Below are 25715 nucleotides of genomic sequence, written 5' to 3'. Positions count from 1 at the left end.
AGAGTCCACCAGGACCAAGGGGGAGAGTCTAGAAAACGTTAGAGGCTAAGGAATCTAAGATAACCAGGAATGAGTAGGAGGTGGAGAGAAGAATTCAGTGAGGCCCAAGTGGGCAGAGGCAACAATGAACAAGTTCCAGATAAACAATAAGGAATTTGTCAGGGCAAAAGAGAAGAGCTCCCAAAGACACAACTGTTACCCCTTTGGGAACGTTATGGCCAGCAGGAAAGGCCCAAGACCCAAGGCAAGATCTGGGATGACGCCAGGTAGAGAAGGAGTCTGCAGGACACATGAGGCCAAGAGGGCACTTAGACTGTATATTTAACATCTAAGGCTAGCTGTTCCCCAGAGAAGGGGACTCCTACAGGGCAAGGTTTTCTCTTTTTTTTTTTTTTCTGACACAGAGTCTCGCTCTGTCACCCAGGCTAGAGTGCAGTGGCGTGAGTTTGGCTCACTGCAACCTCCATCTCCCGGGGCAAGGTTTTCTTATAGGGACTGGTGGAGAATTCACCAGGCCTGGATCAAAAAAAAAAAAAATAAAGAAAGAAAAAAGAACAAATGGTAACAAGCACATGAAAAGAAGCTCAACACCATTAGTCATTAGGGAAATATTAAAAAAAATTTTTTTTGAGACAGAGTCTCTCTCTCTCACCCAGGTTGGAGTGCAATGGCATGATACCGGCTCACCGCAACCTTAGCCTCTCGGGTTCAACCCATTCTCCTGCCTCAGCCTCCCGAGTAGCTGGGATTACAGGCACCTGCCATCGTGCCCGGCTAATTTTAGTATTTTTAGTAGAGACGAGGTTTCATTATATTGGCCAGGCTGGTCTTGAACTCCTGACATCAGGTGATCTGCCTGCCTCGGCCTCCCAAAGTGCTGGGATTACAGGCATGAGCCACCACGCCCGGCCAGGAAATACAAATTGAAACCACAAATCAAAACCACAATGAGATACCACTGCCCACCCACCTACTAGGATGGCTATAATCAAAAAAACAAACAATGGCTGGGTGCAGGGGCTCACACCTGTAATCTCAGCACTTTGGGAGGCTGAGGTGGGAGGATCACTTGAGCTCAGGAGTTCAAGACCAGCCTTGGCAACATAGCAAGACTCCATCTCTACAAAAAATCAAAAAATTAGCCAGGCATGATGGTGCATGCCATGTTGGGGTGGAATAGTCCCAGCTACTCAGGAGGCTAAGGTGGGAGGATTGCTTGAGCCCAGGAGATCAAGGCTGCAGTGAGCCATGATTGTGCCACTGCACTCCAGCCTGGGCAGCAGAGCAAGACCCTGTCTCAAAATAATAATAATAATAATATTAATAATAATGTGTTTATGATAATGTGGAGAAACTTTATACATTGCTGATGGGAATGTAAAATGGTACAGCTGCTTTAGAGAATAGTCTGGAGGTTCCTCAACATGTGAAACAGAGAATAATCCTATGACCCAGCAATTCCACTCCTACCCAAAAGAATTGAAAACAGGTATTTAAACAAAACCTGACATACAAATGTTCATATACCCAAAAGAATTGAAAACAGGTATTTAAACAAAACCTGATATACAAATGTTCATATACCCAAAAGAATTGAAAACAGGTATTTTAACAAAACCTGACATACAAATGTTCATAGCAGCACTATTCACAATCACCAAAGGGTGGAAACAACTCAAAAGTCCATCAACAAAGGAATGGATAAACCAAATGTGGTATATTCCACACAATGGACTATTATTCAACTTATGAAAAGAATGAAGTGCTGATACCTGCTACAGCATGAATGAGCCTCAAAAACATTATTCTGGGCCAGACATGGTGGCTCACGCCTGTAATCCCAGCACTTCTGGAGGCTGAGGCAGGAGGATTGCCTGAGCCTGGTCAACATGGTGAAACCCCATCTCTACTAAAAATACAAACAAGGCCAAGCCCGGTGGGTCACGCCTGTCATCCCAGCACTTTGGGAGGCCAAGGCGGGCAGATCACCTGAGGTCGGGAGTTCGAGACCAGCCTAGCCAACATGGTGAAACCCCATGTCTACTAAAGATACAAAAAAATTAGCCAGGTATGGTGGCACGTGCCTGTAGTCCCAGGCTACTCAGGAGGCTGAGACAGGAGAATCACTTGAACCTGGGAGGCAGAGGTTGCAGTGAGCCAAGATAGCGCCAGTGCACTCCAGCCTGGGTGACAGAGTGAGACTCTGTCTCAAAAAAAAAAAAAATACAAACAAAAAAAATTAGCTGGGCATAGTGAACAAATGGTAACCAGCACATGAAACACATGTACAGGTACGTGCCTGTAATCCCAGCTACTTGGGAGGCTGAGGCATGAGAATCGCTTGAACCCAGGAGGCAGAGGTTGCAGTGAGCCAAGATCACGCCCCTGCTCTCCAGCCTGGGCAACAGAGCAAGACTCTGTCTCAAAAAAATAAAATTTTAAAATAAAAAAAATTATGCTGAGTTAAAGAAGCCAGACACAATAGGTCACGTATTGTATGATTCCATTTATATTAAACGTCCAGAGTAGGCAAATTCATAGGGACAGAAAGCAGATGAGTGGTTGTCAGGGCCTAAGGCAAGGGAGGAATGGTAAGTGACTGTTTAAGGAGTATAAGGTTTCTTTTCGGGATGATAAACATATTTTGGAACTACATTAGAGGTAATGGTTGCATAATATCATAAATGTACTAAATGCCATTGAATCATACACTTTAAAATGGTTAATTTTGGTGCATACCTGTAGTCCCAGGGACTTGGGAGGCTGACTTGAGTCCATGAGTTCTGGGCTGTAGTGCACTCTACCAATTGGGCATCCACACTGAGTTTGGCATCAATATGGTGACCTTCCAGGAGCAAGGGACAACCAGCGGCCTAAGGAGGGGTGAACAGCTCAGGTCAGAAACTGAACAGGTCAAAACTCTTGCGCTGATCAGTAGAGGTATCACACCTGTAAATAGTCACTGTACTCCAGCCTGGACAACATAGCAAGATCCTATCTCTACTAAATAAATAAAATGGTTAATTTTATGTTGTGTGAATTTCATCTTTATTTATTTTTTAAAAAAGAACATTGGTTGCAGTGAGCCAAGATTGTGCCACTGTGCTGCAGCCTGGGTGACAGAGTGAGACCCTGTCTCAAAAAAAAAAAAAAAACGAGTATTGGCTGTCAGAGCCATTTAAGTCACTCATGGTCATTGCCTTCTCCACCCAGGTGGACACCAGGTCTCTCTGCCTAACAAAGGCAGGGAATTACAGCTAGGGAGCTTTACCAACCCCACCAGGCGCTGAGGCACAGAACCCCTCTATTGCCTGCCTCCTCTCCACCTCGGCAACTCTCTCTCTGCCTGGTGAGGCCACAGGTGCCCCTGAACCCTCAGAGGTGTCAGGACAGGAAACTGGGGCAGAGGACCAGCTCCTTAGCACTGCCCTTCCCTCAAGCTCACTAAGTGGTTCCTTCATGGGTTTGCACAGTCAATAATTCACCAGCCTGCCAAGGTGCTAGCGGGACAGAAAAGCCCCCCCACTGCTCTCCTGCTAAAGGGGCCCAGGCTGATGAGGGAGATTCTGTCTGCTACTCCATAAACACTGACCGTTTACTGATGGCCTACTATGGGCCAGCACAGCACATGAGATTTGACATGATTATCACATTGCATCCTCATGATAACCCTGTGAGACAAACAGTGTCAAGCCCACAGTAGGATTTTTGCGGGTCTGAGACACCTTTGCTTTTGTGGGCCCCTTCCTCTATAAAAATAATACTAAAAATTATATTTTACAGCTGCATTGATAAAAGAATATTTAATAATGTCTTAATATATCAAGACGTTTTCTTTGACCTAAATTTTCATTTCTTTCTTCAGATGTGAAAAGTAACCAAAACTTTTTTTTTTTTTTTTTTTGTGAGACGGAGTCTTGCTCTGTCACCCAGGCTGGAGTGTAGTGGCGCCATCTCAGCTCACTGCTACCTCCACCTCCCGGGTTCAAGCAATTTTCCTGCCTCAGCCTCCTGAGTAGCTGGGACTACAGGCATGCACCACCACACTCGCCTAATTTTTGTAATTTTAGTAGAGACGGGGTTTCACCATGTTTGTCAGGCTGGTCTCAAACCCCTGACCTCGTGATCTGCCCGCCTCAGCCTCCCAAAGTGCTGGGATTACAGGCATGAGCCACCGCATCCGGCCCTTTTTTTTTTTTTTTTTTTTTTTTTTTCCTAGAGGGAGTCTTACTCTTGTCACCCAGGCTGGAGAACAGTGGTGCAATCTTGGCTCACTGCAGCCTCCAACCCCTGGGTTCAAGCGATTCTACTGCTTCAGCCTGCCAAGTAGCTGGGACTACAGGCACCCACCACCATGTCAGCTAATTTTTGTATTTTTAGTAAAGACAGAGTTTTACTTTGTTGGCCAAGCTGGTCTCAAACTTGACCTCAGGTGACCTGCCTGCCTTGGCCTCCCAAAGTGCTGGGATTACAGGCGTGAGCCACTGCGCCTGGCCAAAAAATAACTAAAACATTTTTATGGACCCTTAAAAGTACCATGGGACCTAGAATATTGAGCCTCTTGTGCCTGATGGATGAGTCAGTCCTGGATATTACTGTTATTTCACAGATAAGAAAACTGAGGCTTAAATTACAGAGCTAAAAAGTGGTAGGTTATAGAAGGAGAAGGGTTGCAAAAAAAAAAAAAAAAAAAAAAAAAAGTGGCAGGGATACATTTGTGGGCAACTGATTTTAGAAAAGGGTGCCAAAAAAATTCAATGGGGAAAGAATAGTGTTTTCTACAAATGGTACTGGTACAGCTGAATATCCACAAACAAAAGAATAAAGTAGACCCCTACTTCATACCATATACAAAAATTAATTAGGCTCGGCACAGTGGCTCATGCCTGTAATCCCAGCACTTTGGGAGGCCGAGGCAGGCGGATCACCTGAGGTCGGGAGTTCGAGACCAGCCTGACCAAGATGGAGAAACCCTGTCTCTACTAAAAATACAAAAAAATAGCCAGGCATGGTGGCGGGCACCTGTAGTCCCAGCTACTTGGGAGGCTGAGGCAGGAGAATGCTGTGAATCCTGGAGGCAGAGCTTGCAGTGAGCCGAGATCACGCCACTGCACTCCAGCCTGAGCGACAGAGCAAGACTCCGTCTCAAAAAAAAAAGAAAAAAGAAAGAAAATAGTCTGGAATTAGATAGTGGTGCTGGTTGTGCAACCTTATCAATATACCAAAAACCACTGAATTGTACACTTTAAAATGGTGAGTTTTATGGTATGTGAGTTGAATCTCTATTTTTAAAAAGTAAAATTATTGTGGTAATGGTTGTGTAATTATAAACATACTAAATATCGAATTGTACACTTTAAAGGGTGAATTGTATGGCATGTGAATTACATCTCAAGAAAGCTATTACCAAAAAAAATTATAGGATTAGTGATCAAATCCAGGTCTTTCCATTCCCAAAACAAATACTCCTAACTGCTCTCCCACTCTGCCTTATTTGCCAACTGACTAGTCCCAAAGGGGCTCTTTACCTCCCTGCTTGCAACACACAAGCTCCTTTTCCTCTCCTACCCTGCCCTCTGAGCACCAAAAAGGCAAATGGTTTCTTCTGTTTTTCATATTTTATTTTATCTCCACAAAAACTGAAGCACTGTATGGTTTCTTCTTTCTAAGCACAGTGTTGTCCAGCTCAGGCCCTCCTCAAAAGCTCTTAAGTACCTGCAATCCAAAGTCCATTCTCTTTCTCTGAATTATGGAAAGAGGGAAAATAAAATAATAAAGTCGTCCAATCTCCTTAACTGGGAAACCAAGGCCTCTCAAGATCTGGCACCATCTTTGTTTTCCTAGGACCCTGCTCCACATGGCCAAACAAATCTCGTTGTCCTTCCTTGAGCCATGTCCTTTGCTGCTGTCCCAGTGCCTGCAAACCCACTCTCCACCCCTCCACTGCATGGCTAAATCCTGACTGTCTGCTCTGATGCTACCTGGCACTTTCTCTCTGAGTTCACAGTTTCACGCACCCATGCACAAGCATTAACTGCACTTCCTCTGAGCTCTCATGGGTCTCTATTTATCCCTCTACACATTTCTCCCTATATTAAATCACTGATACATATATTCCTTGAGGACTGCACAGTCAACAACCCAACTGGTTGTTGGCACACTGTGACACTCACAAAAGTCACACTACGACACTCACAAAAGTCTGGCACACTGCGACACTCAACCAAAGTCACACCAAACCCACTAAAGTGAATTCAATCTCGCCCCCAATCATCCCTCTGCTCTTTTTTCCCTAATGGCAGTTTTCCTGCCAACTAAAAACACTACAGGCAATTTGAACATGATGTTTAGAATTATAATGGATGAAAACCAGTTACAGCCACATTCATTTCATATAAATTAACCTCTGTGAGCTTTATTGCCTTGGTTGCCTTGACTACCCAGCTGTCGGTTGGCATACCCTGCTCAGCCCAAGAGGTGGAAATGTTCCCCTAGCACAGTGATGTCAGCTGGAGTTAAAGGAAGAGAGTGAGATCAGAGCCTGAAGTACCAGCAACTTCTTGAGTGGTTCACACCACCATCTCATGGGGACCCCTCCTACCTGTTCCTCAACTCCAACTGAGACAGCCACGGGGTTGGGAAGTCCAAGGGGGTGTGCCACGGTTGTGCTCTGACAAGGTGTCAGGAAGGGAGCTAGAGAGAGACAGGCCAACCCCTACTCTGGGTTTCCCTTAGGTTGTCTTCATCGGAAATGCCTCTCAATTTCCTAACCACTGCTGCCCCCTGGTGCCCTGATCTGCCACACCCTACAACACACCACCAGCCCTACCCTATGGAACATTAGAAATACATCCCAACAGCCGGGCGCAGTAGCTCACGCCTGTAATTCCAGCATTGTAAGAGGCCAAGGCAGGCAGATCACCTGAGGTCGGAGTTTGAGACCAGCCTGAGCAACTGGAGAAACGCCATGGCTCACACCTGTAATTGCAGCACTTTAAGAGGCCAAGGCAGGCAGATCACCTGAGGTCAGAGTTCGAGACCAGCCTGAGCAACTGGAGAAACACCATCTCTACTAAAAAAAAAAAATACAAAATTAGCCAGCGTAGTGGCGCATGCCTGTAATCCCAGCTACTCAGGAGGCTGAGGCAGGAGAATCACTTGAACCCAGGTGGCGGAGGTTGTGGTGAGCCAAGATCACGCCATTGCACTCCAGCCTAGGCAACAAGAGTGAAACTCTGTCTCAAAAAAAAAAAAAGAGAAAGAAAGAAAAGAAATACATCTCAGCACTTTGGGAGGCCAAAACGGGTGGATCACTTAAGGTCAGGAGTTCAAGACCAGCCTGGCCAACATGGGGAAGCCCCTTCTCTACTAAAAATACAAAAATTATCTGGTTGTGGTGACACATACCTGTCCCAGCTACTCAGGAGGCTGACGCGGGGAATTGCTTCCACCCGGGAGGCAGAGGTTGCAGTGAGCTGAGATCGCACCACTGCACTCCAGCCTGAACGACAGAGTAAGACCCTGTCTCAGAAAACAAAAACAAACAAAAAAAATGTGATTTACATTTTCTAGTAGCCACATTTTAAAAGGTAAAAATAAACAGGTGAAATTAATTTTAATAATACATTTATTTTATGACCAGGCACAATGGCCTACACCTGTAATCTCAGCACTTTCAGAGGCCAAGGCAGAAGGACCTCCTTGCTGGTTTCAAGAGTTTGAAACCAGCCTAGGCAACATAGTAAGGCCACGTCTCTACAAAATAATATTAATATTAATGTATTCTATGTAGCCCAGTATATACAAACTATTAGCAGTTCAATGTATAATCAGTATTAAAAAAAAATTTTTTTTTTGAGACAAAGTCTCTCCTGTCGCCATGCTGGAGTGCAGGGGTGCCATCTTGGCTCACTGCAACCTCCACGTCCCAGATTTAAGTGATTCTCCTGCCTCAGCCTCCCTAGTAGCTGGGACCACAGGCGTGCACCACCACACCCAGCTAATTTTTAAATATTTTTTAGTAGAGACGGGGTTTCAGCATGTTGCCCAGGATGGTCTTGATCTCCTGGCCTCGTGATCCACCCGCCTCGGCCTCCCAAAGTGCTGGGATCACAGTCATAAGCCACCATTCCTGGCCCAGTATAAAAATTATTGAGATATTCTACATTCTTTCTTCCATGCTAACTCTTCAAAATCTAGTGTGTCCTTTATACTTCCAGTACACCTGAAATCAGACAAGCCACATGTCAAGTGCCCAAAAGCCACATGTGGTTCATGGCTACTGTGCTGGAGAGCCTAGTGTCTGTGCTGGACAACTTAGTGCTTGTCCCTTGAACAGTACTGTCTCTGTGGGCCTAACCAGAGCTGCCTGTGCCCTGAACCAAATTTATCTCTAGGCCAGTCCTGTTCCCTGTGCTCCAAGCTCAGAGACCCAGCTTCCTGCTTGTCATCTCCGCTTTCCTGTCTTACAGAAATCTCTAAGTTCATCAAAACTGCATTTGCATTTTCCTCCCCAAAATGTATCTCCCACAACCCACTCCAACTCAGTAAATGGCACCATAATCCACCCAGTTGCTAGAAGTCAAATCCAAGGAGTCTCATTTTCCTTCATCCAAATGGTTATAAAGTCCTGTCAATTCCGTCCATAGATATATCTGTTCACCTGCATCCATCTCCACTGCTATTGCCCTAGTCCAGGCCACCAACATTTTGCCTGGACTACAAAATGATTCCTTTCCATTTATTTATTTATTATTTATTTATTTATTTATTTATTTTTGAGACAGAACCTCCGCCTCCCGGGTTCAAGCGATTCTCCTGCCTCAGCCTCCCAAGTAGCTGGGACTACAGGTGCACGCCACCACGCCTGGCTAATTTTTGTATTTTTAGTAGACACGGGGCTTCACCATGTTGGCCAGGATGGTCTCGATCTCTTGACCTCATGATCCGCCCACCTCAGCCTCCCAAAGTGCTGGGATTACAGGCGTGAGTCACTGCGCCCGGCCTCAATGATTTCTAACTAGTTTAACTCCCACCTTCCCACCTTCTCACTCTATACCCACACAGAGCAGCCTGAGGGACTGGACCACTCCCCTACCCACATCCCTCCACCAGCTTCCCGATGCCTTCTACTAAAATCCAAACTCCTGGCCTAGTTTTGCCACACCCTCCACAACTTGCTCCCTGCACCTCACTGCCCATCACTCTCCCACTGGCCATATGCCTCAAATCTGCTAAACTCGTTTCCACTTCCTGGTCCCTTTCTCTGGAATGCTCTTCCTCCAGACCCTTCCATTGCCTGGCTCCTTCTCATCATTCAGGTCTCCAGAGTGGCCTTCCCTCTCCACCTTATCTGCAATAGTCCCTTCATCCTTAGTCATTTGCTAGCCCATCATCTTTTTATGTTCTCCAGAGCATTCATCATTTCCTGATATTATTTGTCTAATTGGTTATTTGCCTTCTGTCTTCTTCCAGTACAACATAAGCTCCATGACAGAAAGCATTTCTCCTGTATTGTTCATCGCTGTTTTGGGAGCAAATAGAACAGCGTCCAACACAGAGTAACACATGCATGAGTGAGTGAGTGGATGAATGCTATTCCCTCTGTCTGGAACACTCTTTCCATCCCATGGCTCCTCCTCTTTCAGGTCTTAGGCTAAGTGTCACCTGCTCAGAGAATCCTCCCAGAATGGCCTGCTTTGTTCTCTATCTTAGCACCCGCCTTGCTACCCTCACAGCACATACCACAATTTTAACTTTTTTTTTTTTTTTGAGACAGAGTTTCACTCTTGTTGCCCAGGCTGGAGTGCAGTGGTGCAACCCCGTTCACCACAACCTCTGCCTCCCAGGTTCAAGCGATTCTCCTGCCTCAGCCTCCCAAGTAGCTGGGATTAGAGGCATGTGCCACCACGCCCAGCTAATTTTGTATTTTTAGTAGAGATGGGGTTTCTCCATGTTGGTCAGGCTGGTCTCCAACTCCCAACCTCCGGTGATCCGCTGGCCTCGGCCTCCCAAAGTGCTGGGATTACAGACATGAGCCGCCGTGCCTGGTATCAGAATTTTTACTTTAACTAATTCGTGTACTTTCATTTTTGTCTTCTCCCATTGCCCTTATCACCACTTCTAGACACTGCACTCCATAAACAGGGTCAATGTCTGTACAGTTCACTCCTGTCACTCACTGCCTGGCACAAAGCCTGGCATGTGGTGGATGTCCAATAAACACTGGATGTGAATGAATAACCAACTCTTCCTGGGACTTCCCAGGCCTGCCCAGGAGAACAATCCCCTGGGAGTATCCCACCAGGTCCCTACAAAAAACTTGCCTCGCCCAGGTCACCTCTAATTTCCAGGAGCTGTAGCTCCCGCCTCACTGGAACACTGAGGCTGCCTGGGCATGATGTGAGCTGGGGACCCCAGCTTCAAAGAAAGGAGCGGGACTGGGGCAGAAAGAGAGAGGATCGTCGTCCCCAGAGTATACATCTGAGTCTTGCCAATTCCCCTCCCTCCCTCCCCCAGGGTCATCAGACCCCTCCTCCCACCAAGGGTCCCAGGAGTCCACCCAGGTTGGGCTGAGGGAGGGTTTCTGACCCAGCTCCCACCTTCCCCAGTACCTATCCCAACCCCACTGGGCTGAACACACAGCCAGGGACTTCGGTATTCCCACTTACCAAGCCAGAAAGCAACAGAGTCTGTCGGCGGGAGCTCCCCATCCCCACACTGTGGCTAGACAGAGTTCTACAACATCCTTGGGCACACCTGAAATCAGACAAGCCACATGTCAAGTGCCCAACAGCAACACGTGGTTAGTGGCTATTGCACCAGACAGCTTAGCTCTTGCTCCCCGAACATCATGGCCCCAGGATTTCTGTTAGAAACCCTTCCACTCAAGTCTCAAGCCTTAGAGATCATAGAACCCAAGCTCTTCACTGCTGTAAAAGCCCAGAGAGCAGCAGAGACAGGCCCAGGGTCACACAGCCCAGGCCAGAACCCCAGGCTCCTATGGGTGGGGGTAACAGACACAGCGTCCCCTGGAGCCCAGGAGTTCAGGCCACCCCTGCCTTTTCTCATTTCTTTCTTCCATTCTTCCTCCCCTGCATCAGGAAAACCATGAGAGGTCAGGTTATAACTTCCTCACACCTGGGCTTTCACCTCCATGGTTATATTTCCAAACCCACAGTACCGGGCAGGGCAGGGAAGTAGGTGGCAGGTTTGGGTTTGGGGGGATTTTGTTTGTTTGAGAGGGGTCTCCCCGCTGTCACCCAGGCTGGAGTGCAGTAGTGTAATCGAATGCACCACTGGAGTGCAGTCGAGGATCACTGCAGCCTCGACTTCCTGGGCTCAAGCCCCATCTTCCCACCTCGGCCTCCCATGTCCAGCTAATTTTTTTTCTTTAGAGATGGGGTTACTTACTACGTTGCCCAGGCTGGTCTTGAACCCCTGGCCTCAAGTGATCCTCCCCACCTTGGCCTCACAAAGTGCTGAGGTTATGGGTGTGAGCCACCATGTCCAGGCTGTCTCCCCTTTCTGAAAGCTGTCCGTGATGACACCGAGGCCTGGGTGAAGTGACCTGCACAAGCACACACAGTGAGGTGGAAGCACTGCCACGACCAGCACAGGAATGCTCTCTCCAGCTCAGGGCCGGGTCCCACTGCCCTGGCACCTCCTGGAAGGGCCCGGGTCTGGGCCCCCATGCTGCCAGCTCTAACATAGAAGGCAGTCAGTGGATCAGGCCCAGCCCACAGCTGCTCCAGGTCCGGGAAGGATCAGACCCAGCCCACAGCCAATCCGCGTCGGGCGGGGAAGGGCTGAACGTGGAGTAACTCTCAGTACAGCCGCTGAAAGCCAGGGCTCTGGCCCCTCCACTGCCACTCTTCTGCTCCAGGGACAGCTGTGCTGGCCGAGCGCCACCTCAGGAGCGGGTCAGCATCGTTGTCCCCTCTGCCCCCCAAGGGCCTGGGAGATCCTGAGGGGAAAAAACCAAAGCCCTTTGGCAAGTAACTCTGACCAAAAACAGAAAAAAAACGGCCGGGCACAGTGGCTCACACCTGTAATCCCAGCACTTTGAGAGGCCGAGGCGGGCAGACTCTTGAGGCCAGGAGTTCAAGACCAGCCTGGCCAACATAGTGAAACCTCGCCTCTACTAAAAACACAAAAATTAGCCAGGCGTGGTGGTGAGTGCCTGTAATCCCAGCTACTCAGGAGGCTGAGGCAAGAGAATCATTTGGACTCGGAAGGGAGAGGTTGCAGTGAGCAGAGATCGCACCACTGCACTTCAACCTGGGCAACAGAGCAAGACTCAAAAAAAAAAAAGAGGCCGGGCGCGGTGGCTCACGCCTGTAATCCCAGCACTTTGGAAGGCTGAGGTGAGCGGATCACGAGTTCAGGAGATCGAGACCATGCTGGCTAAGACGGTGAAACCGCGTTTCTACTAAAAATACAAAAAATTAGCCGGGCGTGGTGGCGGGCGCCTGTAGTCCCAGCTACTCGGGAGGCTGAGGCAGGAGAACGGCGTGAACCCGGGAGGCCGAGCTTGCAGTGAGCTGCACTCCAGCCTGGGCGACAGAGCGAGACTCCGTCTAAAAAAAAAAAAAACAAAACAACAGCAACAACAACAACAAGAACAAAAAACAGAAAAAGCAAGGCCTGGGCTCCACATATTTCCTCCCCTCACCATCCTCCATGGACTCTGTTCGCCCTCACAGTGTGCAGGGCTCGGGGACCCAGGTGACAAGGGCCGACCTGCCAGCCGACCACCTGGCAGGAACCGCAATGGTTGGGCGGATACAGTGGCTCTGCCTGTGATCCCGGAGCTTTGGGAGGCCGAGGCGGGAGGATGGCTTGAGCCCAGGATGTCGAAGCTGAGTGAGCCGAGATGACGTCACTGCACTCCAGCCTGGGTGACATAGTGAGGTGACCCCTCTCATAAAAAGAAAAAGAAAAGGAAAGAAAGTGAGAGAAATAGAGAGAGAAGGAAGGAAAAGAAAGAAAGAAAAGACAAGAAAAAAGAGGGAGAAAGGCAAGGGAAAGACAGGAAACGCAGGGACTGACTGAGGGACTGATGGAGGAGGCGTGTGAGCCGGGCTGGGGACGCGACTGACTGATCGGCTGACAGGATGACCAGCTGCACTGGGGTTGCTGAGGGGTGGCAGCGACAGCCAGCCTCTCAGCCTCGGTTTCCGCCTGCCTCCTGCCTCAAGCCAACTCACTGCGTGGCCTACCCCGACACTAACCGGCGCCTGAACCAAAACCCACGGAGCCTGGCGGCCGCGGCTCCCTCAGAGAGTCGCCCTAGACCCTGCGCGGCTCCACAGCGCCACCTCGAGGCTGCGCCTGGAAGGGAGGGGCTGGGGAAGTGGGCGGAGTCAAGGGCGGGGCTACAGGTGGAGCGTCGGCAGGAGCTCCAGCATCCCCTTTCCCGGGACGCCGCTCCTCTTCCCCGCCTCCTTGGCTCTCCCCCGGAGCCTCTTCCTCCTCCCCCGTTCGAGTGGGCAGGTCCCCGCGGGAGCCTGAGTCGCACTGCAGACCTATCCTGTGACCTGAAAGAAACTCCCAGTTCCCCATTAGACCCCCTGGCAGCCTGGGCATCCCGGCGGTTCCAGGGACCCGCTGGGGCGGATGACGGCCGAACCTTTGGGCGCCAGGCTGGCAGTAGACGTGATAGAGGTGAAAACCCCACCACCCTCTTAATCCCCAGAAATGCTACAGGATTCTGGGGGGCCTGAGCGAGCAGCTGAGGACAAGGGCCGATGATATTTGCTTTATTTGTTACTGGGCTTGCTCCCTCCCCCGCATCCCGCTGCTCTTCACACTTGCAAGCTCACCTGACTGCCAGGTGGCCGGTCTGGAGCATGGCGAGCACCTTCGAGCCCCATAGATGGCAGCACAGGCCTAAGAAAAGTCGTACCAGAATGGTGTCTCCCTTCCAAACTCAGGCCGGGAGAGATAGAGCCACTTAGGGGAGAAAACTAATGTCCAGAGTGGCAGAAACATCCTCACATCCCGAAGGGTCTTGAACCCTAACTTCTTGCCCCAGGACAAGAAGACAAGGCAGAGTAAAGAGAGGCTCACAGGGAGAGGCAAGTGACAGTTCAGAACACAGGTGCACCATGCCACGCGACTGTGGGCGTCTCCTCACCTCTCTGAGGCCGTTTCCTGAACTGTAAAATCAGGGACAAGAAGGATACCTGCGTCACGGGATGTTCTGAGATTAACTGAGATGCTGCATGCAAATCACTTAACCACAGGGCATGTGGTAAGTGCTCTAATATATGTAAAGCAACGTTCCACTGCTTTTTGTTTGTTTGTTTTTGAGACACAGTCTCGCTCTGTCACCTAGGCTGGAGTACAGTGGCATGATCATAGCTTACTGCAGCCTCAAACTCCTGGGCACAAGTGATTCTCCCACCTTAGCCTCCTGAGTGGCTGGGACTATAGGTATAGCTATCGAGCCCAGCTAATTTATCTTTTTTTATGTTTTGGAGAGATGGTGTCTTTCTACATTGCCCAGGCTGGTCTGGACCTCCTGGCCTCAAGCAATCCTCCCGCCCTGGCCTGCCAACGTGCTAGGATTACAGGACTGAGCCACCATGCCCTGCTGAGTGTGATGTCTTTTTTACTGTGTCAACTTGGCTAGACTAAAGGCCCCAATTATTCCAACACTAAACTGGATGTTTTGGTGAAGTTGTTTTGTAGATGCGAATAAAGTCCATTATCAGTTGACTTTACATAAAAGGAAGATATCCTGGATAATTTAGGTGGGCTTGATAGACGCAGTTGAAAGGCCTTAAAATCAGACTTGAGGTTTTCCTGAAGAAGAAATTCTGCCTGTGGATAGCAACTTCAGCCCTTGACAAGAGTTCCAGCCTGCACTTACTGCACTTACCTAGCCAGCCCCACAATCACGCAAATCACCTCCTTGCAACAAATCTCTTAATCTGTATCCCCTTACTGGTACAGTTTCTCTGATTGAACCCTAATACATTAAGGAAGCAGTATGGCCAGGCGCAGGGGCTCACACCTGTAAACCCAGCACTTTGGGAGGCCGAGGCAGGCGGATCACTTGAGGTCAGGGGTTCGAGACCAGCCTGGCCAACATGGTGAAATTGTCTCTACTAAAAATACAAAAATTAGCCTGGTGTGGTGGTACGCGCCTGTAATCCCAGCTACTCAGGAGGCTGAGGCACAAGAATAGCTTGAACCCGGGAGGCGGAGGTTGCAGTGAGCCGAGATTGCACCACTGCACTCCAGCCTGGGCAACAGAGCAAGACTCTATCTCAAAATAAAAAGGAGTGTGTGTGTGTGTGTGCGCGCATGTGTGTGTGTGTGCGTGTGTGTTGGGGGTCACAGGGCCTAATCTTCGTGTTTATTCACTCCTTTTTTTTTTCGAGGCAGTCTCACTCTGTTCCCCAGGGTGAATTGCAGTGACACGATCTTGGCACACTGCAGCCTCGACCTCCCAGGCTCAAGCAATCTTCCCACCTCAGCCTCTTGAGTAGCTGGAACTACCAGGCCTGGCTAATTTTTGTATTTACTGTTTTGCCATGTTACCCAGGCTACTTTCAAACTCCTGAACTCAAGCAGTCCACCTGCCTCGGCCTCCAAAAGTGCTGGGATTACAGGTGTGAGTCACCGTGCCCAGCCTATTCATTTCTTTTTAATCTCCGGGTAGTTTGTGACTTTTGAGGTCCAGTACTTGGAGGCACTAGCAAAACCATGGTTATTTATTGGTTGGGGTGGGCTATGAGGTAGCTAGAGGCAGAGGGCCCCTTCCACCAGTCCTGCCCCCTGAGGCCTCAGCTTCGTGGATGTGCCTGCTCATTCCCCTCTTCTCCCTGCCTCAGGTGTAGGCCTGGAAATGAGAGCTACAAAGTATGCTGTCCCTGGGAACCAGCTGGTGAGGAGGAGGCTTCTACCCCAGCAACCATCTGTCCCACATGTCCCTGTACCCCGCCTCTCCCGCCTCTACCCCACAGGCTCATGTGTCATGCACAAACACCTTTTGCCCGCCTGCCCTAATTCTTTTTTTTTTTTTTTGAGAAGGAGTCTCACTGTGTCGCCCAGGCTGGAGTGCAGTGGTGTGATCTCGGCTCACTGCAACCTCCGCCTCCCGGGTTCACGCCATTCTCCTGCCTCACTCTCCCGAGTAGCTGGGACTACAGGTGCCCACCACGACACCCGGATAATTTTTTGTATTTTTAGTAGAGACGGGGTTTCACCATGTTAGCCAGCATGGTCTCGATCTCCTGACCTCGTGATCCGCCTGCCTCGGCCTCCCAAAGTGCTGGGATTACAGGCGTGAGCCACCGCGCCCGGCCAGGCAGAACCTTAAAGGCAGGTGGAGAGCACCTGTAATAGAAAGTGGCTCTCATGATGAAGCTCTGCTGAGCTGAGAGATCTTGTCACTTCCTAGACCCTTGGTTTGCTCCTCTGCACCCTCAATGGTGGTGAGCAACAAGGAGGTGGCCAACTTGAAAGCACCTGGGGCTTTATGGGCTCTTGGATTATCTTCCTTTCCTCCCCAGGAAACTCGGGAGGCTGGAGAAACATCACATGGTGGGAAGAGAGTAGGCTCATGAGTCAGCAAGCCTGAGTTTGAGGCCTGCTGCCCCCACTTGCAAGCCATGGGACCTTCAGGAAGATCTGGAACCTCTCAGAGCCTGATTTCCTCATCTATAAGATGGGCCATGGCTGGGCGTGGTGGCTCACACCTGTAATCCCAGCACTTTGGAAGGCCGAGGCTGGTGGATCACCTGAGATCGAGAGTTCAAGACCAGCCTGACCAACATGGAGAAACCCTGTCTCTACTAAAAATACAAAATTAGCCGGGTGCGGTGGCTCACGCCTGTAATCCCAGCACTTTGGGAGGCCGAGGCAGGAGGATCACGAGGTCAGGAGATCGAGACCATCCTGGCTAACACAGTGAAACCCCATCTCTACTAAAAATACAAAAAATTAGCCGGGCGTGGTGGCGGGTGCCTGTAGTCCCAGCTATTCGGGAGGCTGAGGCAGGAGAATGGCATGAACCCGGGAGGCAGAGGTTGCAGTGAGCCGAGATCGCGCCACTGCACTCCAGCCTGGGTAACAGAGTGAGACTCCGTCTCAAAAAAAAAAAAAAAAAATTAGCTGGGCGTGGTGGCGCATGCCTGTAATACCAGCTACTCGGGAGGCTGAGGCAGGCGAATCACTTGAACCCAGGAAGCAGAGGTTGCGGTGAGCCGAGATTGCACCATTGCACTCCAACCTGGGCAACAAGAGTGAAACTCCATCTCAAAAAAAAAAAAAAAGAAAAGACAGGCCAGTGGGTGCGGAGCCCCCTCCCAGAGCTCCTGTGGGGACAGTAACACAGCTGGCACACAATGCTCTCTCCACCTTTAGTAGGGGGTTGGTAAAAGTGAAAGCCCCCATGTTAACATAAGAGTGTCGTTACTACTGCTGAAAAACACGACACCCGATCCCTCTAAAAAAAATCCCAAAAACCTGCTTCTCCCGACGTGCAGCGTTGAAAAAGGCACTCCTTTTTAAGACCACCCCTGAGAGTGTGTGCCTCCTTAAATGTTGTTCCCTAGGCCTGGCACGGTGGCTCATGCCTGTAATCCTAGCATTTTGGGAGGCCTAAGTGGGAGGATTGCTTGAGCCCAGAAGTTTGAGACCAGGCTGGGTAACATAGCAAGACCCCACCTCTACAAAAAATAACAAAAATTAGCTGGTTGTGGTGGTGTGTACTTGTAGTCCTAGCCTCTAGGGAGGCTGAGGTCAGAGGATCATTCCAGGACGCAGTGAGTTATGATCTTGCCACTGCACTCCAAACTGGGTAACAGAGTGAGACCCTGTCTCTTAAAAAAATAAATAAAATTTAAAAATTTAAAAACCTATGTCGTGGGCCAGATCACATGAGGTAAGGAGTTCAAGACCAGCCTGGCCAACATGGTGGAACCCCATCTCTACTAAAAATACAAAAAAATTAGCCAGGCGTTGTGCCACTTGCCCGTAATCCCAGCTACTCGGGAGGCTGAGGCAGGAGAATCGCTTGAACCCTGGAGGCGGAGGTTGCTGTGAGCCAAGATTGCGCCACTGCCCTCCAGCCTGGATAACAGAGTGAGACTCCATCTCAAACAACAACAAAACAACAACAACAAAATATACATATATAATATAATATAGATATAGATATATGTTGTGACCTAGGCACCTCTCTTGCTAACCTTAAGCCCAGCCCTGCACCCCTGCATCATCTGAAAGATGACTACTCATCTTTCACCCCACTACTCACAACAGAAACCTGGGTAGCCTGAGTCCTTCCTTGCCCTCACCCTCAGACTCAGTCCTTTGGCAAATCCTGTCAACTCTACCTCCCAAATAGTATCCACCATGTCCCTCAGTCACAGCCCCCACATAGGTCCCTGCCACTCAAGCTCTCTCTGGAGCAAACTACTCTCCCATCTGTCCCACGCAACAGCCAGGTGAGTTCTTTTTATTTATTTTTTATTTTTATTTTTTTGAGACAGAGTCTCGCTGTGTCACCCAGGCTGGAGTGCAGTGGCGTGATCTCGGCTCACTGCAAGCTCCGCCTCCCGGGTTCACGCCATTCTCCTGCCGCAGCCTCCGGAGTAGCTGGGACTACAGGCTCCCGCCACCCCACCTGGCTAATTTTTTGTTTTTCTTTTTCTTTTTTTTTTTTTTTTTTTTGTATTTTTAGTAGAGACGGGGTTTCACCGTAGTCGCGATCTCCTGACCTCATGATCCGCTCGCCTTGGCCTCCCAAAGTGCTGGGATTACAGGCGTGAGCCACCGCGCCCGGCTTTTTTATTTTTCTGAGATGGAGTCTCGCGCTGTCGCCCAGACTGGAGCGCAGTGGCGCGCACTGGAGTGCAGAGGGAGCACGCAAAGTATCAGGAGTGGAAAGGAGGCTGGCGGCCCAGCGGAAAGCAGGCTGGAGAGGAATTCAAGATGAAGGTAACATGGGCAGGGCGGCAGGGACCTTGAAGGCCTCCATCTTCTCAGCACTGGGAAGCCCTGTGGACGTGTTTTGAGCCGTGAGAGAAACACTCCTGTTTGCATTAAAAAAAATCAGCCAGGCGTGGTGCCTCACGCCTGTAATCCTAGCACTTTGAGAGACTGAGGCGGGCGGATCACCTGAGGTCAGGAGTTCAAGACCAGCCTGGCCAACACCGTGAAACCCCATCGCTACAAAAATACAAAAATTAGCCGGGCGTAGTAGTGGGCGCCTGTAGTCTCAGCTACCCGGGAGGCTGAGGCAGGAGAATCACTGGAACTTGGGAGGCAGAGGCTGCACTGAGCTGAGATCGTGCCACTGCCCCTCCAGCCTGGGCAACAGAGAGAGACTCCATCTAAAAACAAAAAACAAACAAACAAAAAAACATGTCCCTCAAGTGCCTTCGCTTTTCAGCACCATGCCCAGTCCATACCACAATGTGCATTTGGGTGACTGTGGGGTCACCCTCACCCCACCACACACACATGACCCTGAGCACCATTAGGACAGTAATCTGGGCTGTTTTGCTCCCTGTGGTATCCCTAGTAGCCATACACAGGAGGAGCTGAATCAAAGCATGCTGGATGAGCCATAGCTGAGGAAAGAAGGCCGGGCACCTGCCCTGATTATGGGCAGGGGGCCACATACCCTGGTTTGCTTGGGGAGGCCATGTTCACTTGTCTTTCCCACATAATAATAATGGTGCCCTGTTCACTCTCAAATGTCCCAATTTGGTGACATATGATCAATGTAGTTATTGGAAAGGAGAAGGGGTTAGCCCCGAGCTTCTGCTCTTTCCCAGCCCCACACTGGTTTCCCACTTGCCCCCAACAAGCACAACATTCAAAGCTTTTTCTTCTAACTCTTGAGATTTTTTTGTTGCTGTTAATATTTCCCTACATTGCCCTCAATCTCCAGAAAAAACATAAAATTCTCTCTGCCCATTTCACTGCAGAAGTGGCCTCCTGGAGGGTTACCATGGTGATCAGATGATGTCACTGTCCTGGAAACAGTTGCCTAGGAAATGTGTGATGTCACTTCCAGGAGATGATTCCCATGGTAACCATCTCAGTGGAATTGGGGGGTGGCCAGGAAATGGGGGCTGAGGGCGGATACAGAAGGGACAAATGTGAAGAGCGGAAGGAAAGGGGGAGGGGGAGAAATGCAGGAAAAAACCAGGAAGAGGAAGGGGACCTTCCCAGAGCAGTTGAAAATAATATACAGAATCTCAGAAATGGAAAGGTCCCCAGAGACCACTAAATGCAACAACCTCATTTTTACAGAGGCTGCTGAGAGGCCAGGACTTGCTCAAGGTCACACCGCCAGTTGACAGGTTAGAGCCAAGCCCAAGGCTGCATGACTGTCAGGTTTGGGTGGGGTAATAAAGGATTCCTTTCAGCCATTTCTCTTTGTTTTGTTTTGTTTTTTTCCCCGAGACAGAGTCTTGCTCTGTCGCCCAGGCTGGAGTGGCGCAATCTCGGCTCACTGCAACCTCCACCTCTCGAGTTCAAGCGATTCTCCTGCCTCAGCCTCCCGAATAGCTGGGATTACACATGTGCACCACCACACCCAGCTGATTTTTGTATTTTTAGTAGAGATGGGGTTTTACCATGTTGGCAAGGCTGGTCTTGAACTCCTGACCTTGTGATCCGCCCGCCTCAGCCTCCCAAAGTGGTGGGATTACAGGCGTGAGCCACCACGCCCAGCCTCAGTCATTTCTTTTTAAAAATTCTGACCTGTAATCAATGAGTTATTCATGAATTCATTACTGTGAGTTTGTGTGCTGGACCTGGAGAGGACCGTGAGTGACATTTTCCTAGTTACTTTATATCTTTTTAATGTATCTTCCCCACTTTTTTGTATCTCCCCACTCTAACACTGGAGTTAGCCCCCTGGTCCATGTCCATGTCTGTATAATTCACTAAGGTCTCTCCAGCCACCTGCCCAGTGTCTACCCCATAATGGCAGCTCTTCAATGTGTTTGTCAAATGAATGAAGACAGATAAATGCCATTGTGTGGTACAGACCCACAGTACTGGATCCCAAAGAAGGGATCGCAGTAGCTGACAGGGAGGAGGTAAGATTTCATAGATAGAATTCGAATAGGGCAAGAGAAGAAAGCCAGACAGGAGAGTAACGGCTTGAGCAAAAGTAAGAGCAGGCTGAACAAACTGGGTGCAGCTGGAGAGATTCCAGTTGGTGCTTTGATCCACCTCTTGAGTTATACTGTAACGGCAGTGCCTACTGTAACTGTAGTACCTCACTTTTTGAAGTGAAGGAGCTCCAAGCTTTAGGAGTAAGAAGCACATTAAGGTCCAGATTGCCTGGAGATGTGGGTGGGGCAGTAAAAAAGACCAATCTGGCTTAAAAGGCGAATGTAAAGAAGGTGATTGAGCAAAGGCTACCTGGCAAGGAAGAAAGAGGTCTTATCAAGGAAGACCTGGAGTGGCAGGCTTTCAGCCCCTGTCTTGAAGACAACATCGCATCATGAAAAGGATCTTGAAGCCCTGCACAAAGACATGCTCTGCCACTCCTCAGCTATGTGACCATAGAAAGTCACTTTTCCTCTCTGAGCTGCTAAATTGGAGCTATGACCTAATTCACAAGATTATTAGCTTGAACTTTAAAATGTAGGCTGGGCGTTGGCCGGGTGCAGTGGCTTACGCCTGTAATTCCAGTACTTTGGGAGGCCGAGGTGGGCGGATCACCTGAGGTCAGGAGTTCGAGACCAGCCTGACCAACATGGAGAAACCTGTCTCTACTAAAAATACAAAATTAGCTGGGCGTGGTGGCGCATGCCTGTAATCCCAGCTACTTGGGAGGCTGAGGCAGGAGAGTCGCTCGAACCCAGGAGGCAGAGTTTGCACTGAGCCAAGATTGTGCCACTGCCCTCCAGCCTGGGCAACAGAGAGAGACTCCGTCTCAAAAAAAAAAAAAAAATGTAGGCTGGGCGCAATGGCTTATGCCTGTAATCCCAGCACTTTGGGAGGCTGAGGCAGGAGGATCACTTGAGGTGAGGAGTTGGAGAGCAGCCTGGCCAACATGGTGAAACCCTGTCTCTACTAAAAATACAAAAATTAGCCAGGTGTGGTGCCATGCACCTGTAGTCTCAGCTACTCAGGAGGCTGAGGCAGGAGAATCGCTTGAACCTGGGAGGTGGACATTGCAGTGAGCTGAGAGTGTGCCACTGCACTCTAGCCTGGGCAACAGAGTGAAACTCTTGTCTCAAAAATAATAATAAAAAAATAAAAATGTACATAAAGCTTCACTTAGCAGGGTGACTGACTAGCTCACAAAAGACAGCAAATGTTATTTCCCCTCCCCTTCCTAGTACAGAATGGCATGGGAGTAGAACTTTGGGAAATGAATTTGACAATAGATTCCTTCAGGTTTGTTTGTTTGCTTGAGACAGGCTGTCACCCAGGCTGGAGTGCAGTGGTGTAATCAGGGCTCACTGCAGCCTCAACCTCCCAGGACCAAGCAATCCTCCCACCTCAGCCTCTCAAATAGGTGGGACTACAGGCATGCAACAACACAGCTGGCTAAATTTTTGTACTTTTAGTACAGATGGGGTTTTACTGTGTTGCTCGGGCTGGTCTCAAACTCCCGGACTCAAGCAATCCTCCTCCCACCTCGGCCTCCTAAAGTACTGGGATTACAGGTGTAAACCACCTTGCCAGGCTTGTTATAACATTTCTAGGACTCCTTTTCTCTAGTTGGGGATCAAAATATCCATGGCGTAGTGGAAAGAACCTTAAAGTAAGACAGCCCATTTCAATCTCAACCTTGCCTCTTACTAGCTATGCACGTTACATCACCGAATACCTGGTTTCCTCATGTGTTAAAAATATTAACATTCCTCACTGCTAAGGCTGCTGTAAAGATTCAGAGACCATGCATTCAAAGTACCCAAGACACAGTAAGTATTTGAGATGGTAATTTTTATTAGCCAGTCTAATGATTGGGTTTTATAATGAAAGAAGACCTGTTAAGTCACACCCAGCTCTGAATCATAGTGTTTGTGCTTGCCTGATAGTCACATCTGCTAAGATGAGGACCCTCTCAGTCTCTGGATGGCAGATTCTAAGGGTGTATGGGAGGAAGGTATGGAGGGCCTGATGGCCCACGCACAGCCTATTTAATCTTACAGAGCCAAGAGGAATCCTAGCTCCCTGATCCCGAAGGATTTAAGGACGGCCAAGAATTTACCCAACAATAGCTTCATTATCAAGAATCCTACCCCTTCCCCCAACTCAAAGAAATGGACTTTTGAGCAGGGTTTGAGGAGCTACTGGAAATCTGAAGCAATAGCAACAATAATTTTTTCTGGGGGGGGGGGGGGGGCGGGGACGGAGTTTTTGCTCTTGTTGCCCAGGTTGGAGTGCAATAGCGCGATCTCGGCTCACCGCAACCTCTGCCTCGCAGGTTCAAGCGATTCTCCTGCCTCAGCCTGCTGAGTAGCTGGAATTACAGGCATGCGCCTCCATGCCCGGCTAATTTTGCATTTTTACTAGAGATGGGGTTTCTCCATGTTGGTCAGGCTGGTCTCGAACTCCTGACCTCAGGTGATCCGCCCACCTCGGCCTCCCAAACTGCTAGGATTACAGGCGTGAGCCACCGCGCCCAGCCAACATCAATAAATTTAAACATCCCTTTTCAAGTATAATTTCTTCCATTCTAAGTGAAAACATTAAAAACACTGAAAGTCTCCTAAGGGTGAAATGTGTTGTATCCATTTTCTTTCTAGTCTCAACCCAAAGAGCATGGCAGTTAAGAGAACCAGGGACAAGGATTCGGGATCTGAATGCTACTCCAGATGCACCAATTTTGCCATGACCTAGAAAGCTATTTCATTTCTCTGGACTTTAATTTCTCATGCTGTAACATTGAGATGACCCCTTCTTAACGATTTGAGAAAGTTATCTTGACAAGTTTTAAAACGTTTTAAGTAGAATTGGGGAAAAAATATGCAGCAGTGAAGACTTCCAGGCTTACATCACATGTAATTTACAGCACCCTCTTAGGTCCTTTCAAAGAGCCTCATCTATTATTTATGTGGCTAACCTCCTTTTCTTTCTTTTTTTTGAAACCGAGTCTCACTCTGTTGCCCAGGCTGGAGTGCAGTGGGACAATCTCGGCTCCCTGCAACCTCCGCCTCCTGGGTTCAAGTGATTCTCCTGCCTCAGCCTCCATCGTAGCTGGGATTACAGGCACCAGCCACCACACCCAGCTAATTTTTGTATTTTTAGTAGAGGCGGGGTTTCACCATATTGGTCAGACTGGTCTCGAACTCCTAACCTCAAGTGATCCACCCACCTCAGCCTCCCAAAGTACTGGGATTACAGGCATGAGCCACTGCACGCGACCTATGTGGCTAACATTAATCACGTATGTCCATACTTCCCCATACCTCATTCCCAAAGAAGGTGCCTTACACACCATGAACTTAGATTAAAACATAACCCAAATCCTACACTTAAAAAATGAGGGACCTGAACCTCAAAGGTGGCATGGCTTGCCAAGGTTCCCCAGGCCCCCCAGAGGGCCGTTAAAATTCTGAATAAATCTTGGGTGGAAGCTGTCCTCTAGCTTACCAGCTGTATAAATTCCAGAGATCCACAACCTTTGCACTTTAGCTTCCTCATCTGTAAAGTGGGACAAAACCTTTCAGAAGACAGCTGTAAAACGTAAATGTGAATGCTTTAGCAACTGCAAAGGACATTTCAAATGTAAAAGCGACCGGGCACAGTGGCTCATGCCTGTAATCCCAGCACTTTGAGAGGCTGAGGTGGGAGGATCACTTGAGGTCAGGAGTTCAAGACCAGCCTGGCCAACATGGTGAAACCCCATCTCCACAAAAATACCAAAATTAGCCGGGCACGACAGTGGGTGCCTGTAATCCCAGCTACTCAGGAGGCTGAGGCAGGAGAATCACTTGAACCTGGGAGGCAAAGGTTGCAGTGAGCTGAGATCGTGCCATTGCACTCCAGCCTGGGTGACAAGAGTGAGACTCCCATCTCAAACAAAAAAAGAAAATGTAAGAGCCCTTTGTGTGTGTGTGTGAGAGAGAGAGAGACAGAGAGAGAAAAGAGAGAGAGAGAGAGGTCTTGCTATCAGAGACAGAGAGAGAGAGAAAAAAAGGTCTTCCTATCTCCCAGGCTGGGGTACAGTGGAGCAATCACGGCTCACCGCAGCCTCGACCTCCCGGGCTCCATCCTCCCAAGCAGCTGGGACTACAGGCGCACGCCACCATGGCCCAGCAACATTTTGTCTACGTGCTTATCAAAAGCAAGTATTAGCCATATAAAGCTTGTTGACTTTCAAATACCTGACCTACTAACTGAAGTGAAACTCAATAACCACTTTATCTTAAAATTAGGTCAACTTGAAACAGGCTTCCTGAGCCGTATTCATCGGCCCCGGCATGGGGGGCGGGGCTCATACTCTACTTCAGAATAAGAAACAGGTTAAACTTACATGCTTACAAGTTATGTGCTCCACAATATAAATTCAAGGACAGAGATTGTGTCATGGCCATTTCCATCAGTCTAATGCCAAACTTTAGTCAAGAAGGTGTTTAAGGCTGGGCACGGTGGCTCACGCTTGTAATCCCAGCTCTTTGGGAGGCCAAGGTGGGTGGATCACATGAAGTCAGGAGTTTGAGAGCAGCCTGGCCAACACTCAAAACCTCATCTCTACTAAAAATACAAAAATTAGCCTG

General features: G+C 49.1%; 1 long non-coding RNA gene and 1 pseudogene across 1 annotated transcript in view, besides 2 other annotated features; one reads left to right on the top strand and one right to left on the bottom strand.

Moving 5' to 3' along the window:
• Positions 1 to 13322, bottom strand: part of LINC02558 (long intergenic non-protein coding RNA 2558) — a 66377-nt gene extending 53055 nt beyond the window's left edge. Inside the window, exons 1-3 of the long non-coding RNA NR_149128.1 lie at positions 13233 to 13322; positions 10671 to 10758; positions 2740 to 2873 (exon numbers count right to left, since the gene is read on the bottom strand). This is a non-coding gene — a long non-coding RNA (long intergenic non-protein coding RNA 2558). The remainder of the gene's footprint in view (positions 1 to 2739; positions 2874 to 10670; positions 10759 to 13232) is intronic.
• On the top strand, positions 2718 to 2998 carry RN7SL305P (RNA, 7SL, cytoplasmic 305, pseudogene; annotated as a pseudogene).
• Positions 13963 to 14072: an enhancer, noted in NCBI's record as "active region_18875". NCBI's record gives its function as "activates an Ori minimal core promoter by ATAC-STARR-seq in GM12878 lymphoblastoid cells {active_cell/tissue: GM12878}" and the evidence as "EXISTENCE:reporter gene assay evidence [ECO:0000049][PMID:35858748]".
• Positions 14143 to 14192: an enhancer, noted in NCBI's record as "active region_18874". NCBI's record gives its function as "activates an Ori minimal core promoter by ATAC-STARR-seq in GM12878 lymphoblastoid cells {active_cell/tissue: GM12878}" and the evidence as "EXISTENCE:reporter gene assay evidence [ECO:0000049][PMID:35858748]".

This window comes from Homo sapiens, chromosome 22, assembly GCF_000001405.40.
Source record: "Homo sapiens chromosome 22, GRCh38.p14 Primary Assembly".
Lineage (NCBI taxonomy): Eukaryota > Metazoa > Chordata > Mammalia > Primates > Hominidae > Homo > Homo sapiens.
Note: the sequence above shows the minus strand (reverse complement) of the source record. Positions and strands in the feature narration are given on the sequence as shown.